General features: G+C 41.6%; 1 protein-coding gene across 40 annotated transcripts in view; it reads right to left on the reverse strand.

Annotated features, from left to right (window-relative positions):
* Positions 1 to 19090, reverse strand: part of ABLIM1 (actin binding LIM protein 1) — a 370264-nt gene that overhangs the window by 134429 nt on the left and 216745 nt on the right. For all 40 annotated transcript variants that reach the window (XM_047425242.1, XM_047425238.1, XM_047425237.1 and 37 more), the window contains 2 exon segments: positions 9878 to 10061; positions 5759 to 5868 (listed from right to left, as the gene is read on the reverse strand). In XM_047425242.1, the coding sequence (XP_047281198.1) occupies positions 5759 to 5868; positions 9878 to 10061 (294 nt within the window).

The following is a 19090-nucleotide window of genomic DNA, read 5'->3' on the forward strand; positions in this document are numbered from 1 at the left end:
TGCTAGTAAGTGGAAGAGCCAGGACCTGACCCTAGGCACTCGGAAGCCAGGGCAGATCTTTCCTACGCTCCCTTGGCAGACAGTTCTCACTCAACCTGACAATGATTTTTTTTTAGAGAGAACATAAAGATAAAAGAAAGTTATCTTGCATGTATTAAAGGCTACTGGACTAAATAGAAAAGTAAAATAATTGGAAATGTCTGCCTCCCCTTTGGAAACATGCACGCGATGCTTTATCTGAAATGATTTCTTTTTTTTTTTTTTTTTTTTTTTTGAGACAGAGTCTCGATCTGTCGCCCAGGCTGGAGTGCAGTGGTGTGATCTCGGCTCACTGCAAGCTCCGCCTCCTGGGTTCACACCATCCTCCTGCCTCAGCCTCCTGAGTAGCTGGGACTATAGGCGCCCGCCACCATGCCTCGCTAATTTTTTTGTATTTTTAGTAGAGATGGGGTTTCACCGTGTTAGCCAGGATGGTCTCTATCTCCTGACCTTGTGATCCGCCTGCCTCGGCCTCCCAAAGTGCCGGGATTAGAGGCGTGAGCCACCGCGCCCGGTCGAAATGATTTCAATTCAGTCAGACTAGAGCATTTGTCTTGATACCTGTAGGAGTTCCAATTGCAGTTAGAATAATGATGTTGCACACAGAGGAGGGAAAAGAGAAAGATGAGCCTGCATGTGTTTGTGTGGGTGTTCATCTTGTCAATCCCCACAAACCCACACGCCATCAGACACTAGTCAGACACCCTTTGACATGGAAAGGGTGACTGTAGACAGCAGCCCACTCCTGCTCAGATGTCTGAAATACATAGGAGCCCTGTAGGAAATGACAACCCAAACCCGATTCCCTACACTCTCAGTTGCCACACACAGACTTTCTCTCACATCCCTCCTTAACCCATGGGAATCCAGCCCCTCTCTCCATTATTGGTAAATACATGAAGAAGGGAGTGGAATGAAGCTTTCGAAGATTGTACTTAACCTTCTTGTAAAGCATGTCTTCTGGGCATAATATTTTTTTAAAAATATGAATCAGCTAATAAAACAATCTAGTTAATGTTCGTCAAAACCCTGTGTGCTAACTTTCACTACTATCTTGCTTTCACGTAATGTTTATTGCTTATTGGATTCAAATTGCATTAGACTGGATGCAGCAACAGTTTTAAATAATTCAAGGCAATAATCTTTCACTGAAGTTGTTTGCGTCTATGAATAACTTCCTAATGATTTTGGCCGGGCATGGTGGCTCACGCCTGTAATCCCAGCACTTTGGGAGGCTGACGCGGGCAGATCACTTGAGGTCGGGAGTTAGAGACCAGCCTGGCCAACGTGGTGAAACAACATCTCTACTAAAAATACAAAAATTAGCCAGGTGTGGTAGTGCATGCCTGTAATCCCAGCTACTCAGCAGGCTGAGGCAGGAGAATTGCTTGAACCTGGGAGGCAGAGGTTGCAATGAGCCAGGATCACACCACTGCACTCCAGCCTGGGCGACAGAGCGAGACTCTGTCTCAAAAACAAAAACTGTCTGGTGGTTTCCATTCACCAACACTTGGTATAACAGGGAGGCTGCTGTGCCTCCCATGTAGAAAGTGCACAGCTCTTGGAGTCAGGGCACCTGGATAATCTGCAGACAAATGTGCCACTGCTCCAAGGCTCAGCACTCACGTCTTTGAAAATCAGAGAGTGATACCTACATCATCAAAGAAATATCAGGGACCGGAACATGGCATCGGGAGCCAGATCACCTGGGTTTAGATCCCAGCTCTGATACTGTCTATGGAACATTGGGCAAATTATTTAACCTCTATGGACATTTGTTTCTTCTTCTCTGAAAAGGGGATAGTATTAGTGCCAAGCTATAGGATTGTTATGAGGATTAAATGAGTTAATAATGTAAACCAGTTACACAGTACCTGATATATCATAAGTACTATGGGAGTGCTTGATGAGGGAAATAAAACAGATATCAAGGTTAGAAGAGTTACTGCAAGGTGGAGGAAGCACTGAACAGAGCACTCCAGTGGGAGCTCTTCCTAAAGCAGAACAATACAGACATGGCAGCTGCTGAGCAGCTGAAAGAAAAAGGCTGCATCTTTCCTCAATAAGGTCAGAGACTCTTTCATATAAATGTCCACTCCATCCACTTTGCTCGTATTTCTCTACCTATCTGCTGTCTTCCCCTCCTATTTAGAGATGATGGGAAACCAGTCACAGAATGTGAAATAAAACTGTGGTTCAGAAGAGCAAACTCATTTCTGAACAGGATATTTCAAAGGAGAAAGAGGACCTTGGCCTTGGCTTTCTGGTAGATTTCACCAACTCTGTGAACATTATCAAGGGAGAGATTCACATTTAAAAAAGGCTACTTTCGGCCGGGCGCGGTGGCTCACGCCTGTAATCCCAGCACTTTGGGAGGCCGAGGCGGGTGGATCACGAGGTCAGGAGATCGAGACCATCCTGGCTAACAAGGTGAAACCCCGTCTCTACTAAAAATACAAAAAATTAGCCGGGCGCGGTGGCAGGCGCCTGTAGTCCCAGCTACTCGGGAGGCTGAGGCAGGAGAATGGCGTGAACCCGGGAAGCGGAGCTTGCAGTGAGCCGAGATTGCGCCACTGCAGTCCGCAGTCCAGCCTGGGCGACAGAGCAAGACTCCGTCTCAAAAAAAAAAAAAAAAAAAAAAGGCTACTTTCTACTTCCACTTAGGAAGTTTTACTAAGTTTAAAAAGGGAAAAGAGCTAGGGCATGCGGGACTTAATACCTAGGTGATGGGTTGACAGGTGCAGCAAACCACCATGGCACACGTTTACCCATGTAACAAACCTGCACGTCCTGCACATGTACCCTGGAATTTTTAAAAAAACATTAAAAATTTTTAAAAAGTCATAAAAGAGGAACTAAAGTCACACAGGCTAGTTTTAAAGTATAGGGCAATTCTTGAAGAGTCACGAATAGCAAACAAGTGTTTTCTAATTATGCTCCAATGAATTTCTGAAACTTGCCAGAAATTCCCATTGCTCTAATATTTGTGTGCCTGTCTAGTCTGGGTAATTTGCAAGTGTGTATCTATATAAAAGAGCTTTCTTTTTTATAGACACCCACACACACCCCATAAATGCCATTTGAGTACTTATTTAAATAGACAAGTACTTGTTAAAAATAAAGATGTCCTGACCAAAGCAGTTGCATAGAAATGGGATTTCATCCATTGGAAGCAAAGGAGAAAATACAACTTGGCCCAACAATTTGCACATAAGCAATGATGGTTAAATATAATATTAAACATGCAATGGCTTTGAGTTAGATTATATTTTTATGTTTTTAATTTTCATTTACATGTGCATAACATGTATGCCATATAAAAACAAAATATAGATAAAGAAATTTAATAAAAATTAGAATCAACATTTCGGTAGAGCTGTGACTAGGAAACATGTTCCCAAATTACATGGCCAGAGAGGGTTGGAAGCCTTAAAAGATATCATGCTTCTATATCTTAAACCAAACAATGAAGAGTATTAGATTTAAAAAAGAGAGAGAGAGCAAGCAAAAAACCAGGAGCCAAAAGACGTGCATCTGACCCTATCTTATTAGATAGCTTATGTGACCTTAAGTATGCCCGTGGGCCTCAATTTCCCCACCTATCAAAAAACATAGTTGGACTAAAGGACTTCACAATGAGGACACAGCCATTCCCATGATGGGCCTTGTGGACGTGTTCTCTGCTACAGCTATCACCATATTCTGGAACTCATAAAAATCATAAAAGCCTCTTTTTCTTTTTCTTTTTTTTTTTTCTTTGAGATGGAGTTTTGCTCTTGTTGCCCAGGCTGGAGTGCAGTGGCGCGATCTCGGCTCACTGCAACCTCTGCCTTCCGGTTTCAAGGGATTCTCCTGCCTTAGCCTCCCGAGTAGCTGGGATTACAGGTACCCGCCACCACGCTCGGCTAATTTTTGTATTTTTAGTAGCGATGGGGTTTCAACATGTTGGACAGGCTAGTCTTGAACTCCTGACCTCGTGATCTGCCCGTCTCAGCCTCTCAAAGTGCTGGGATTACAGGGCCTCTTTTTCTTAACTGGACAAGAATTCCTTCAAAGTTTTTGGTAATGTACTTTCAAAGCAAGCCCTCCCAAATAATGGGGTGACAATTCCCACTGGAGGTTACCTTCCCAGTGACCAGAGGCTAACTGTATCTCTTGTGTTTGGGGCAGGGTAGCAAGAATGGTGAAGGAGTTGAAACCCTACTAGGGGTCTAGGATGGTGCCTTGCTTTGTAGCTGTCATCCTACCCAAGCTGCTGTTATTTGTCGGAAGGTCACATAAATTCACACGCCAAGGATCCAGTCATGTGTGCTGAATAACATGTGCTAATATGTGTATTTTCTTCTTTCCTCCCAATGGTCAAAAATCCAATTTCTATGCAAATGCTTTAGTCAGAACATTCTTCTTTTTAACAAGTATAACACTTCTCTCTAATAGGAAGATTTGGAATCACTATTATAAATTGCACTGAATTTCTCTGGTGCAGAAGTGGTTTATCTCATCCTTACGTATTAAGACTCACTTAAGGGCTTAAAGAGGTTTATTCCAAATCTCCCAAGGACTGGCAAAAGCCACAGAACCCAAGGCAAACCTCTAGTTCACTTCCTAATGTCCCAGGAAAGAGATGGGAGTAGAGCTTCCTTGCTTGGTGCCCACAGTTCATAATGCATCAACTTCAAATGTGTGTTAACTGACCTACTCGATGTTATTTTCCAGAAGAAATGGTGCAATTGGCCACTCTTTTTATTTGGGGGTAAGTAGGTTCTCTATGGATTCTGACAGGTCAGACAAGACCTTGTAAATAATGACAAGTCCCCAGATATATGTGCAGCTTTTTCCCACACTTTCTTCAAACCTCTCCTTAGGTGTCATATTTGAGAGAAGTCTTCTCTGCCCCATATAAGTGCAGCTCTTTTATTCTGCTTTAATTTTATTCCTACTTTAATTTTTTTCACATATTAGATATTTTTGTGTATGCAAAGGAATTTCTGGGTCACATGGTAGTTCTATTTTTCTGGGTTTTTTTTTTTTTTTTTTTTTTTTTTGAGATGGTCTAGCTTTGTCACACAGGCTGGAGTGCAGTGGTACAATCTCAGCTCACTGCAACCTCAACCTTCGCCTCCCAGGCTCAAGCTATCCTCCCATCTCAGCCTCCCAAGTGGTTGGGACTACAGACGTGCACTATCATACACAGCTACTTTTTGCATTTTTTGTAGAGACGGGATTTTGTCATGTTGCCCAAGCTGTTTTTAAATGAGGCTCAAGCAATCCTCCCGCCTCAGCCTCCCAAAGTGCTGGGATTACAGGCATAAGCCACCACACCTGGCCTATTTTTAATTTCTTTAGGAGCCTCCATGCTGTTTTCCATGATGCCTACGTCAAGAATCTACATTCCTACCAACAGTGTTCAAGGGCTCCCTTTTCTCCACACCTAGGCTGATGCTCGTCATCTCCTGTCTTTTTCATAATAGCTATCTTAACAGGTATAAGTTGGTATCTTATGGTTGTTTTGATTTGCATTTCCCTGATGACTTATAACATTGAGCACCTTTTCATGTACCTGTTGGCCATTTTAATGTCATCTTTGGAGAAATATCTATTCAAGTAGATAGATGACTCTCATTTCCAGCTAACAGCGTTTCTCAAAAAGGAAGGCACCTGCCTGAGCTACCTCTGGACTACATAGGTATTCACGTCAGTGGGTCACCGGGGCACTTACTGCTGGAGAAGGTGGTTTCTTTCGGACTGGACGACATCGGCTGTGCACAGAGTTGACAAAGGCAGTCTCTCCCATTGAATGTGACTCGGTCTCCGGGTGGAAACGGGCGCCTGGAGGCAGAAAGACATCGCCCTCAAGGTTATTGCAGCAATTTCATTCCTTTTCCTTATTCCTTCTGCTTGCTGCCCTCCGGTGCCCATTTATTTCTTGGAGAAGCAGCAGCCAACATGTCTGAAATGCAGTCATAACCAAGCCAGCCAGCTGGAGACAGTCCAAACAAATAAATGTGCCTCATTTTGAGAAGAAAGGGGAATGTACTGGTTCTAAGGGCAACCAGGTAGTAAAATGGAATGATTTACCTCCATTCATTAGTGAAGGGATATTCCAGCAAGTGATCTAGCAGGGCACACAGAACAGTAAGTTTCCAAATGGAAAGTCCTTCATGAAAAAATATTTTAAATACCATGAATTCCCAGTGAAGCTTAAGGCCCTGCCCCAGGAGACCTGGCTACAGGTCAAGCAGTAAGCAGTGGGTCTTTCAGTTCCCTGGGACCGTGCCTAGACCTCTGTGATGATTATGCAGGATTAGACTTTGTGCTGGACACCTACATGGGTGAACGGAACGTTTCATGGTGCTGGAGACCCAGTCCCTTATAAACTGGGAGAAATGGGACAGGCTGTAAATATCTGTTTAAGAATTCATATTAGCTTCTTTTCAGAAAGACAATTTCTCTTCATAGTAGATATTCATCAATAGCAGCACATTTTGCAAAAATATTGCCTTCTGCATGTAGATAATCAGTTTCTTCTCCCAGGTCACCAGGCAGAGAGCCCTTTAAACAAGTCATTAATGAACAGACATATGACAGTTTCCATGCCCACTCACTTGCCCTTGGCCTATGTACCAATAATCTTCATTAAAGTGATTTTTCAAATGTGTGATGCTGCCAATTAGGAAACGTGAAACTCACAAGCTGAACATCACCACAAATCTTAGTTAGAAGCAATTACTTAAGAGCAAGTACCAGCTTTTTGACATTCATTTTTACTTCCACAGCTGCTACATTCCCTTTAAGTTGCCCCTCAGTAGCCTAACAATTGGCAATTAACTGTAATAAACAACATATAGGTAAATTTGGAGTTAACCCCACAAATGTGGCTGGCTCCAGTCATCACAGAGAGTTTTAAATTCTTACACCCTTACATTTTAGAAGTCCCGAGGAGAGGTGGTGTCCTCTCCACTTGTGATGCTGTGTCACTTTCGGCAGTACAGTGAAGGCTCAGAGAGGTGAAGTGACATGCCTGGACTGACCAGCTAGGGAGATCAAGCCATAGGCAGGTGCAGATGGCATCCACCAACTTAGAACTTGTTTTATTTTTAAGAATCAAAAATCACCCTCTGCTGGATGCCAGTAGCCCTACTGCTTCACACTCATTAGCTAAACCTGAACAAGTCTTAAATCTGTTCTGTAAGGAGGGAGTCAGGAAGTTAAGGATCCATTCAACACAACACGCACAGGTTCTTTTGCCTCCGACCAGGCCAGGAGTGGACCCAGACACAGCGTTTAAAGAGGCACTCGTGCTCCGTGGCTGACCCTGCACTTGCAGGACCCTGAGAATAAGTGCCCTTTACCTGTTGCATGCCCAGAGGCACCTCGCTTACCCCACCCAAGCCCAAGCCTTCCTTCCCATCCAAGCTTATTATTTTAGACCCAAGTCCCACACGAATCCTCTATGGGACAAGCCAGAATCCAGTTCTCAACTTGGGCTGGGCCTTCTGAAGGGTGGGTTTTGTTGTTTTGTAAATGGCCCTTTTCAGTAATTTCCTCCCTCCCTATATCCTCTGCCCATACTGGATAACTTCCTTCTTTTATTTGCATGAATGTTTATAATAGAAAGAGACCTGGATTTAGAGTTAGAAAACCTGAGTTCTAACGTTAACTTGGGAATGTCCCTTAAACCGTGAGCCTCAAAGTCACTCATAAATAGAGATATTAACTCCTGGTTCCCTTCAAAGAATTGCTAAGAGGGTGAAATTAACTTCTGTATGAATATAACTTCTCAACTAAAAAGGAGGCCCCAATTCAGACAGAATTATCGTCATTCGGCAGCAGTAGAGGCAGTAGCAGTAAGTGCTCCTTTGCTGGCTCAAATGTCCAGGGACAGGGCCATAGTTAATAAATCGTTTTTTATCATTATACCAACTTCAAAGCAATGACCTCTCAGGGTCAGGATCAGAAGGGCTCTTAGAGTTTACTGGGAACACGGCCTTCCAACCTGGCTGACTGACAACATACATGAGAACCCTCCAGAAACTACTAAATTAGCATGCAGGTTTTGGGGGAAAATAGGCTAGAAATTGATCTTTGTGGAGAGACTCCCATCTCTAGTCCACTCCCACCCATCCAGGAGATTCCAGTGATGAGCGAGGCTTGAAAAATGACTCGCATCTAGTTCACAGCTTCTCATTCTAAGGTGGAGGCAATTGTCTGGAAAAAGCTAAATCACATAGGTCTCAATTCAACCTGGGAAGTAAGACTGGGACTTGGGGCTCCATGCCAGCCCAGGACTCTTAACCAGGCTGTGTGCCACAGCCTGAAAAGGGAAAAATCAGGGCAGAACTTTGCTTTTGATTAAATACAGAAAAATATTCAGTTCATTCATCCAGAATTATTAAATTATGATTTAAAAAAATGAAATAGAGAAATGAGCTAATACATAGCTATAAAGTTATTTAAATAATTTTATTATGAATATTTTGTGTCTTATTATGATTTATCAGTATTATCTTGTTAATTAATTACACAATATTGAATCTTCCCTTCTAGAGCTTACATCTCTCTGGCTTAGAAACATACAATGCTGAAAAACAGACAACACGTCTCCTCTGAATTGGGGTTTTTAGAAAGGCATAGCAAATAGATCTCCACTTGAAAAGGCACTGGATTGCAAAATTGCCAAATTAGAATTGATCAATAAAGCAGCTGACCCTTGGTGGTGAGTCTCCTAGTTACAGGAATCAAACCTATCTTAAGTTTTATAACATGCAGACCTCAAAACACAAAAACCACAAAAAGCCCCACATTTTCCCACTCACACTTCACATAGTTTTCTTGTTCTCTGACTGATCATTTTATTATTTATTTTATTTTATTTTTTTTGAGATGGAGTCTTGCTGTGTCACCCAGATTGGAGTGCAGTGGCACGATCTCGGCTCACTGCAACCTCCGCCTCCCGGGTTCAAGCCATTCTCCTGCCTCAGCCTCCCAAGCAGCTGAGATTACAGGCACCTGCCACCTCGCCTGGCTAATTTTTTTGTATTTTTAGTAGAGACAGGGTTTCACCATGTTGGCCAGGCTGGTCTCAAACTCTTGAGCTCAGGTGATGTACCTGCCTCGGCCTCCCAAAGTGCTGGGATTATAAGGGTGAGCCACCACGCCCAGCCTGACTGATCATTTTAATCAAGCTGGTTTGCACAGTTAAGATACAACCTTGGTAGATGACAGATACATAGAGAACAGGGTTGGCAAATATTTCCCCCCAAAGATGAGATTGTAAATTTTTTAAGACTTTGCGGACCATATGGTCTCTGTCGCAATGACTCAACTCTGTTGTTGCAGCGTGGAAGCAGCTATAGGCCACACACAAGTGGGAGTGGCTGTGTTCCAATAGAACTTTATCCACAAAAACAGGTATCAGGCCTAATTCAGCCCATGGGACACAGTTTGCCACCGCCTATTATAGATGAAAGAGACCATTTTAAACACACACACATGCCTAGGAATTTATACTTCCAAATAAGCTTTATCCTTCTAAGCAGTTATGCCATTTCCCCCTGATGTTTTTATTGCTCCAAAATGTTTTGAGACCCAGAGCTGCTTTCAGAATTAGTTTCAATCTACTAAAAATCAGTCATATTACTTTGTAGAGGACATCACACATACAGTTTCCAACTAATCTACTTTTTTTACTAGGACTGATAGTACAGTAAGAAAGAAATCTAAGGATAAGAGTATGTGCTACTCAAGACAAAAGGTGTATAATCCAACCTTTAACAGCCCAAACCAGCATTTCTCTGTTGGAGGAAGGTGTAGGCTTTGGAAAGATAGGCTCACTTACTTGCAGATAGTACAAGCAAAGCAATTGGGATGGTAGGTCTTGCCCAGAGCAGTCACCACTTCGCCCTCCACGAACTCCCCACAGCCATGGCAGCGTGTCCCGTACATCCGCTGGTAGTCCAGGGTGCAGAGATACTCTCCGTTCTTTATGAAGAAGCCCCCTTGTGCCAGGTCACAGCCACACACTGTAGAGAGACAAGTTCACATCTGGTCATTATCTGCCACACTGCCGGGCAGCACTGCCTTTGAGTGAATACTGACTGGTTGCTCACCCTGTGATCTCAATGGTTTGGGGCTAGGGAGGGGATGGCTACAAAGAGCTATTTATTATTGGGCTCTGACCCTCCCTTTGGGAGCTATGCAATATCTCATACAAGTAAAATCCACTGGCTAGGTCTCAACAGCTTTTGTGATATGTCTAAAATTCTGAGATAATCAAACAGTCTTTGATAGAAAGATACCCTTCATTCAGGCTGTCTCAAATATGAGCAAAGGTGTCCCTGGCAGTGTGCTATTTAGGAAAGGTGCCCACTGCCTGCCCACACAACCACATGGTTTGGGCCAAGATTGTTAGGAGTTGAGTAATAAATTTCCATTATACCAAAGGCAGTAGCTGAAATTTCCGATAGCTGTATTTTTTCACACTCTGGAACTACTTTCCACTGCTACGAAAAATTCAGATGTTTCATTTTTTCTTTGTGCAGTAAATAGAATAAGCCAATTATTTATATATTATAGAGAGATAAAAAACAAACAGGCAAAAGAGGAAAGACCTGTTATTTGGATGCTTTATTGTGTCTGGATTTTGGCATCTCCTTCCGACTGTGCAGCTGTGGATTAGGGAGATGGTGCAAACAGGCAGTGGGAGCTTGGGCCTGGTCTACGTGTTCAGACAAGACCAGAGTAGGTCACAACAATTTGTCTGCAAATAAAGCCTAAAGCAGTCCCTGACAGTAAAGATCTCTCTCTGCCAAATGGCTGAGAAGCAACAGCCAAAGCTGGAAATCTCTGACCCTAACCTTGCTATCCCCAAGGTCAACTGATTCCAATTTATAATTCCTTAGGCAAAGAATCCAGGATTCTTCTTGATTATTTGGTATTCAGTTGGGGTGGGGACAAGGTGAGTTCAATCAGTAAATTGCTTTCCTAAGGACCTGCTCGAATGCTCCCAGGGTTCATCTGCTGAGTTCCCATGACTCCTTAATTCATCTAGATGAACTAGGGCTTCAGTAAGGTTCTGATGAAAGTCACGACTCCCCCACCTTCAGTCAGGACTCTTCACTAACTACAAGCTACGGAAGACGTTCAAGGTGATCCAAAACCCACAAACAAACTTTCCATTGTGGATTCATCAGTCTTTGTTTAGATCAACACTCCACAGCCATGACCTTCTTCTTTGCAATTTACAATTAAGTAACCCAAGATTATGGCCTGAGTCCATCATGCCTGAAACTGACCACCCTATAAATACTCCTGTGATCATATTATCTGGAAAACAGCTCATTCACCACCTGCTGCCTCCTCTCACCTGCCAACCTCTCCTCTGCCCCCACTGTTCTCCCACCTGCTTCTTCTTCCCCAGATGAGTCCTGTGGGTCAGGGGAACCCACGTGTGGATTGGCCTCATTCTGATTGCAAATTCCTTCAGCAACAATAGGCAGTCTGGGGGTAGCGGGTCACAGAACCTTAGAGTGTTTTCTTCAATATCTGTCTATGTGCAGATCTTATTTTTCTACAAGATGGCAAGGTATTTGAGGGGTGAGAGTCTTCTTTTGATTCTTCTTCAGGAACCTAATTGTATCTAATATAAAACAGGAAACACAATGTTTGAAATAAACTGAATCCTGCCTGAAACTTGGCAGGTTCCCACTGATTTCACTCCTCAGTGACATCAAGTTCTGATGACTCAGTTATTTTTCCAAACTTAGGATTTCTCAAAGCCCTGAGAAGTGACACAACAATGCATCCAGACTACTGGTAATTCCCTAAATTCTCTCCTCCAGTCAGCTATGGCTTAAAAATGCAGAGTCGTTATACAAAGATGTGGTGTCAAAAGGGTAATCTGGTGGCAATACACAAAAAATAGATTGAGATAGTTTCAAAGCTAATTCTAAATGTTTTAGAAATTATTTGTATTTACTGCTTTCTTAGGGCACCTGTCTGCAGCCTTTTCCAGATCACATGGTTTTGTGAAATTGACATATAGTATCCTTTATTAATAAAGTCCTAGTTTCTGTGAACATAACATAGCCTTAAAAAATGAATTCTTAACACTACTGAGAGATGCCAAGCTACATTCAAACTGTGCCTTATTATGATTTGATTTGGCTTTTTCCTTAAAGTAGTGCTCAAGGTGGCTTACAAACCATACCATTATTTCTGGTGGTTTATACAAGGAAACCAGTGTTTGATGTGACTCCCAGAGGCAGGTGTTCCTAAAGGCATATGCAACAAGCAGTGAGAAGGGGGGCCTATGATGCCAGTACCTAAAATATACTTAACATTATTACATTTCCTGAAAATGGACCAGCTGTCACATCATTTCAGACTCTTCCCTCTCTTGCCTCCCCAGGCTTTACTTTCCTGTTTCTCCTCCTCTGTCTACTCCTTCTCAGTCTCAGTGGCCAGGCCCCTAAATGCAGGTCACTCCTATGGGTGCCATCTCCTCCCTCTATGATGTAAGGCCTCCCTGGGAACAGATCTCATTCACTCTCACAACCTCAACTATAACTTTATGCGAGGGATGATCAAATTAATGATCTCTCTCTGTGATGTCTTCCCCAAGCTTTAGACCCTGATTTGTAGCTGTGTGCTGGGCACAGGCAGACCGCCATGCCTCTCTCAAACCCAGCATTTTCCAAACACACCCTTTCCTCACAGTTGCTCTGCCATCCCCCATAAAACCTTCTGCTGTTCTTTTTCTATTCCCTTTCTCATCAAAATGGTAGCTGTATCCATTCTCCAACTCTTACATCAACATCAACATTTTCTGTTGTTTTTTTTTTTTTTGAGATGGAGTTTCGCTCTTGCTGTCCAGGGTGGAGTGCAATGGCATGAATTCGGCTCACTACAACCTCCACCTCTCCAGTTCAAGCGATTCTCCTGCCTCAGCCTCCCAAGTAGCTGGGATTACAGGCATGTGCCACCACACCCGGCTAATTTTGTATTTTTAGTAGAGATGGGGTTTCACCATGTTGGTGAGGCTGGTGTTGAACTCGTAACCTCAGGTGATCTGCCCAACTCGGCCTCCCAAAATGCTGGGATTACAGGTATCAGCCACCACGCCCAGCCAACATCAACATCTTCAACTGGACCCAAATCCAACCCATTTCCCCAATGAGGTGTTTCTTTTTCTTTCTTTCTTTCTTTTCTTTTTTTTTTTTTTTTTGAGATGGAGTTTCACTCTTTGTTGCCCAGGCTGGAGTGCAGTGGCATGATCTCAGCTCACTGCAACCTCTGCCTCCTGGGTTCAAGCGATTCTCCTGTCTCAGCCTCCCGAGTAGCTGGGATTACAGGTCCCTGCCACCACGCCTGGCTAATTTTTGTATTTTTAGTAGAGATGGGGTTTCACCACATTGGCCAGGCTGGTCTTGAACTCCTGACCACAGGTGATCTGCCCACCTCAGCCTCCCAAAGTACTGTTATTACAGACGTGAGACACTGCTCCTGGCCCAATGAGGTGTTTCTTTGATCCATTCCCTCCTCTGCCTTCTTGCTATCACTACTCAAAACCTGGCCTTCAGCATGGCTCTGCTGTAGTAAAACAATTTTTTTTAACAACATTTGTATTGGCAGGAAAAGAAAAACAACAGGAAACAATCTAAACTTTCATTAGTAGAAAAATAGTTGAATAAATTATGCTATGTCCAGTCTATGGAGCTGGTATTAAAAAGAATGAATTTAGCCCTCTGGATTGTGGATATTGACAGCCCTCTACGTTGCAGACATTGATCTGTCTGTGATATATTGTTCAGTGAAAAGAACAAATGTCACAGAGTAAACGATTTTAAAAATCCCATTTTTAGATAAGTCATGTTTTTATGAACTAGGTAAAGTGAGTTAACATAAACAGAACCATTAAATTGGTTCTCTCAGGAGGGTAAAGAATTATTAATTTTTTCTTCATATACCCACTTGTCAGTCCATTTTGTAATTTTATTTTTAATTGTGACAAAATGCATATAACAAAAAATTTACCATCTTAATCATTTTTAAGTGTACAGGTCAGTGGCATTAGATACATTCACATTGTTGTGCAACCATCACTGCTATCCATCCACAGAACTCTTTTCATCTTGCAAAACTGAAACTCTGCACCCATTAAAATCCCTATTCCCTCTTCCTCCAGCCCTGGGCAACCCCATTCTACTTTCTATCTCTATGAATTTAACTCCTCTAGGTTCCTCATATAAATAGAAGTTCACCTTTAATCACAGTAATGTTAAGAAAAATTATCCAAAACTTGTAAACAAGGTAAAGGGAAGAAGGCATGTTCTTTAAATGTCATACTGGGGCATTGTTTCACAGATCACATAAGGATTATTTCATTATCCGGGGAGACTAGATCGGTGTTGGACAAGCCCTTTCCTATTGATGAAAGGCCCAGACTTTAGAAGTTAATGTTAACTTTTTTATTCTTGTCCAGTAGAGATGCAGATGACTTCTGTCTGGTTTTATCATCGTGTTGAACCATGAATCAGTTTTACATCTAGCCCAGCCATCTTATTCTGACATTCCTTTTTGAATGCCTTTATAACCCACTCCTTTATTTTAATATTATATATTATATATTATATATATATATATTTTTTAGACAAGGTCTTGCTCTGTTGCCCAGCATGGAGTACAGTGGCATGATCATAACTCACTGCAGCCTTCAACTCCTGGGTGCAAGAAAACCTCCTGCCCTAGCCTCCCAAGTAGCTTAGGACTATAGGCATGTGCCACCAGGCCCAGCTAATTTTTAATTTTTTTGTATACACAGGCTGGTTTCTTGCTATATTACACAGGCTGGTCTTGAACTCTCGGCCTCAAGTGATCTTCCTGCCTTGGCCTCCCAAACTGTTGGGAATATAGGCATGAACCACGGCACCCAGCCAACCCAACTTTATTTCTCCTTGGAACCAACTTTAACATCCTGCTGGTTCTGTCATTAATAAGTTGAATAAATCTTTGATACATGCTCATTCCAGATTTGTATAAGAGTCCTATACTTTTTGAAAATTATACTCTGACAAAGGCATTACTCTTTTTAACCAAAAATATCTAAAGGTGAACATTATTTTTTTTTAACAAAATTTTGGTCTGTTTGATATTAACAACTTAGCAAATACTCTTCACTGGTGGTACAAAGCAAAACTTTCACATCTAAATGATCACAAACATCTCAATTAGTAAAGTCAAACTTCAGTAGGGTATATTTAGATTTTTACTTTGGGTGCTCCATTAGTCGTTAGCTGACAGTTAACATACGCCCAGGGAAAAGCATAGATTCCTTTCATTAAAAAATAGGGCTTCTAGTGAAAGAGATTAATTGCTTTCTTCTGATCAATTATTTAAAACATTCCCCACTCAAGGTGCCAACTAAATCCTGCCCTTTTTTGCCACCACCAAAGCCTGGCTATAAAAAGTCCTGTGCCTTGTGGATGCTATGCTCTGGAATTCATTCTCTAGAAACCACTGAATACAATCAACTACTAAAGAAGAACATGTACATCCAAGAAATTTTATATAAAAGTTGCAAAATTAGTAACAGGCATATTTTAAAAGCTGAAATCTTTTAAAAAAAGTAACAGGAGCTGCCCATGTAGTAAAAATACCATGGAACAGGAGGGGAACAAAGTATGGGGGTGTCCAACAAGGGTGAAAACAGAACAGTATTTTAATGGCATGAACAGGGCTGCAGTAGCAACTATTTCTTCAACCTTCTAAAAACGGTAGTAACATTTTATGTTCCAACAAATTCACTGCAACACTCCATCTGCCTGTTCACTAGTTCATACTGCCAAACATTTAAGAGAATGGGTCATACCTAAAACTCTACCCAATGGTGGGTTTTGGGGGCAAAATGTCAAAGACATTTTCTTCATCCATATCAGTAGACTGAACATCTCTTTCTTGTGCTACTGCTCTCATACAGGTTTTAATCAATTTGTACCAGTAAGAGAGAGGGGGATGCTAAGCAAACATGATCAATGTTTTCAATTCAGTTTTGAGCAACATGAGCATTTTAATTGGGGTGCCAGTAGCCTTGGGTGGGTCCTTTCTTCTCTTTTCTAGGAAAACCCATCTAGCATGCTGCCAGGTGGTCAGCTCTTCTCAGGGAAGAAGGAGCCCTTCTGAATTTGCCCCATGAAAGTTCTGGGACCTGTCTTACACCCTCCTCATTTCCAGTGATGAGGGCCATGTGCTCTAGATGTACTAATTTACCCTTAGGCCAAAATCCTGTTCCACATACTTCAAAATAATAAGAGTTGTCTAAGACAAACTCACAGCCAATATCATACTGAACAGGCAAAAGCTGGAAGCATTTCCATTAAGAACTGGAACAAAACAAGGATGCCAACTCTCACCACTCCATAGAACTGGAAGTCCTAGCCAGAGCAATTAGGCAAGAGAAAGAAAGAAAAGTCATCCAAATAGGAAAAAAAGTCGTCAAACGGTCTCTCTTTGCCGATGATATGATTCTATACCTGGAAAACCCTAAAGACTCCACCAAAAGGCTCCTAGAACTGACACATGATTTCAATAAAGTTTCAGGTACAAAATAAATATACAAAAACCAGTATAATTTCTACACACCAAGAAAGTTCAAGCTGAGAGCCAAGTCAAGAATTCAATCCCATTTACAATAGCCACACACACAAAAACACCGAGGAATCCATCTAACCAAAGAGGTGCAAGATGTCTACAAGGAGAATGAAACACTGCTGAAAGAAATCATAGATGATGCAACAAACAAAAAACACATTCCATGCTCATGGATTGGAAGAACCAAACTTGTTAAAATGGCTATACTGCCCAAAGAAATCTACAGATTCAATGCTATTCTTATGAAACTACCAACATCATTTTTCATAGAATTATAAAAATCTATTCTAAAATTCATATGGAACCAAAAAAGAGCCTGAATAACCAAAGCAATCTTAAGCAAAAGGAACAAAGCTAGCGGCATCACATTATCTGACTTCAAACTATACTACAAGGCTACAGTAACCAAAAGAGCATGGTACTGGTACAAAAAGAAACACATAGACCAATGAAACAGAATAGAGAACCCAGAAATAAAGTTACATACCTACTACCAGCTAATCTTCAACAAAGTAGACAAAAATAAGCAATGGAGGAAAGGACTCTCTATTCAATAAACGGTGCTGGGATAACTGGCTATCCATATGCAGAAGAATGAAACTAGACCCCTACCTATCACCATATACAAAAATTAACTCAAGATAGATTAAAGGCTTAAGGGTAAGACCTAAAACTACAAAAATTCTGGAAGAAAACCTAAGAAATACCCTTCTGGACATCGGCCTTGGCAAAGAATTTATGACTAACTCCTTAAAAGCAATTACAACAAAAACAAAAATTGACAAGTGGGATCTAATTAAACTAAAGAGCTTCTGCACAGCAAAACAAACTATCAACAGAGTAAACAGACAACCTACAGAATGGGAGAAAATATTTGCAAACTGTGCATCCAACAAAAGTCTATTATACAGAATCTATAAGGAATTTAATTCTACAAGCAAAAAACAAATAACTCCATTAAAAAGTGGCCAAAAAACATGTCTTCTTAAAAGAAGATATGCAAGAAGCCAACAGACATATGAAAAAATGCTCAACATCACTAATCATCAGAGAAATGCAAATCAAAACCACAACAAGATACCATATCACATCAGTCCAAACGGCTATTACTAAAAAGTCAAAAAGAGACAACAACAAACAAACAAAAAAACAGATGCTCCAAGGCTGTGGAGAAAAGGGAACACACACACACACACACACACACACACACACACACACACACACACACACACACACACACACACATATATATATATATATATATATATATATATATATATATATATACTGTTGGTGGGAATGTAAATTTGTTAAGTCACTGTGGAAAGCAGTTTGGAGACTTTTCAAAGAACTAAAAATGGAACTGCCATTCAACCCAGCAATACCATCACTGGGGATATAGCCTAAGAAAAATAAATTGTTCCACCAAAAGACACGTGTACTCTTCTGTTCATCACAGCCCTGTTTACAACAGTAAAGACACGGAATCCATCTAAGTGCCTGTCAATGGCAGATTGAATAAGGAAAATGTGGTACATATACACGGTGAATACTATGCAGCCATAAAAGAGAATGAAATCATGTCCTCCGTAGCAACATGGATGTAGCTGGAGTCCCTTATCCTAAGTGAACTAATGCAGAAACAGAAAACCAAATACTGCATGTTCTCACTTATAATTGGGAGCTAAACTGTGGGTACATATGGACATAAAGATGGGAACAATGGACACTGGGGAATGCAAGGGTGGGGAAGCAGGCAGGGAAAGGTAGAAAAGCTACCTATTGGGTACTATGCTTATTACCTGGGTGATGGTTTCAATCATACCCTAAGCCTCAGCACCACACAATACACCCATGTAGCAAACCTGCACATGTACCCACTGAATCTAAAGTAAAAGTCAAAATTAAGAAAAAAGAAAAGAAAAGAAAAGAAAAGAAAGTCCTGTTCCTTTCTGCCTGACTACACCATCCCTGCACCTTCCTAGGCTGTCATGTGCTAGAGCTGGGCTGGAGCAAACGCAGGGTACAGAACTCTCAATCACTTCACCCCAATTAGCACTGCGAATACCAAATGCTTCCCATCTTCTGCCTCTGTCCCCCAACTAAATTTTTTTAAAGTTTTATTTCATCCAAGATGTTAGTCTATTCATCAAACCCTATCTTCCTAGAGAATACAAAAGTAGACTATGACACAATGTCTTCTCAAACCACCAAAAATTCCATTACAGTATGGGATCTGAGTTAATCCATTTTTGCTCTGAAACCCAGAGCAGTGTAGCTGAAAGTACCACACACGGCAGCTCAAAAGTACCATCCACTGTAGCCCAGAGCTCAAAATAGCTGAGCAGAGACTCATCAACAATAATGTGAGGGGGCAGCTTCCCACCAGAAATATCTTTTGCTA

This window comes from Homo sapiens, chromosome 10 (assembly GCF_000001405.40).
Source record: "Homo sapiens chromosome 10, GRCh38.p14 Primary Assembly".
NCBI lineage: Eukaryota > Metazoa > Chordata > Mammalia > Primates > Hominidae > Homo > Homo sapiens.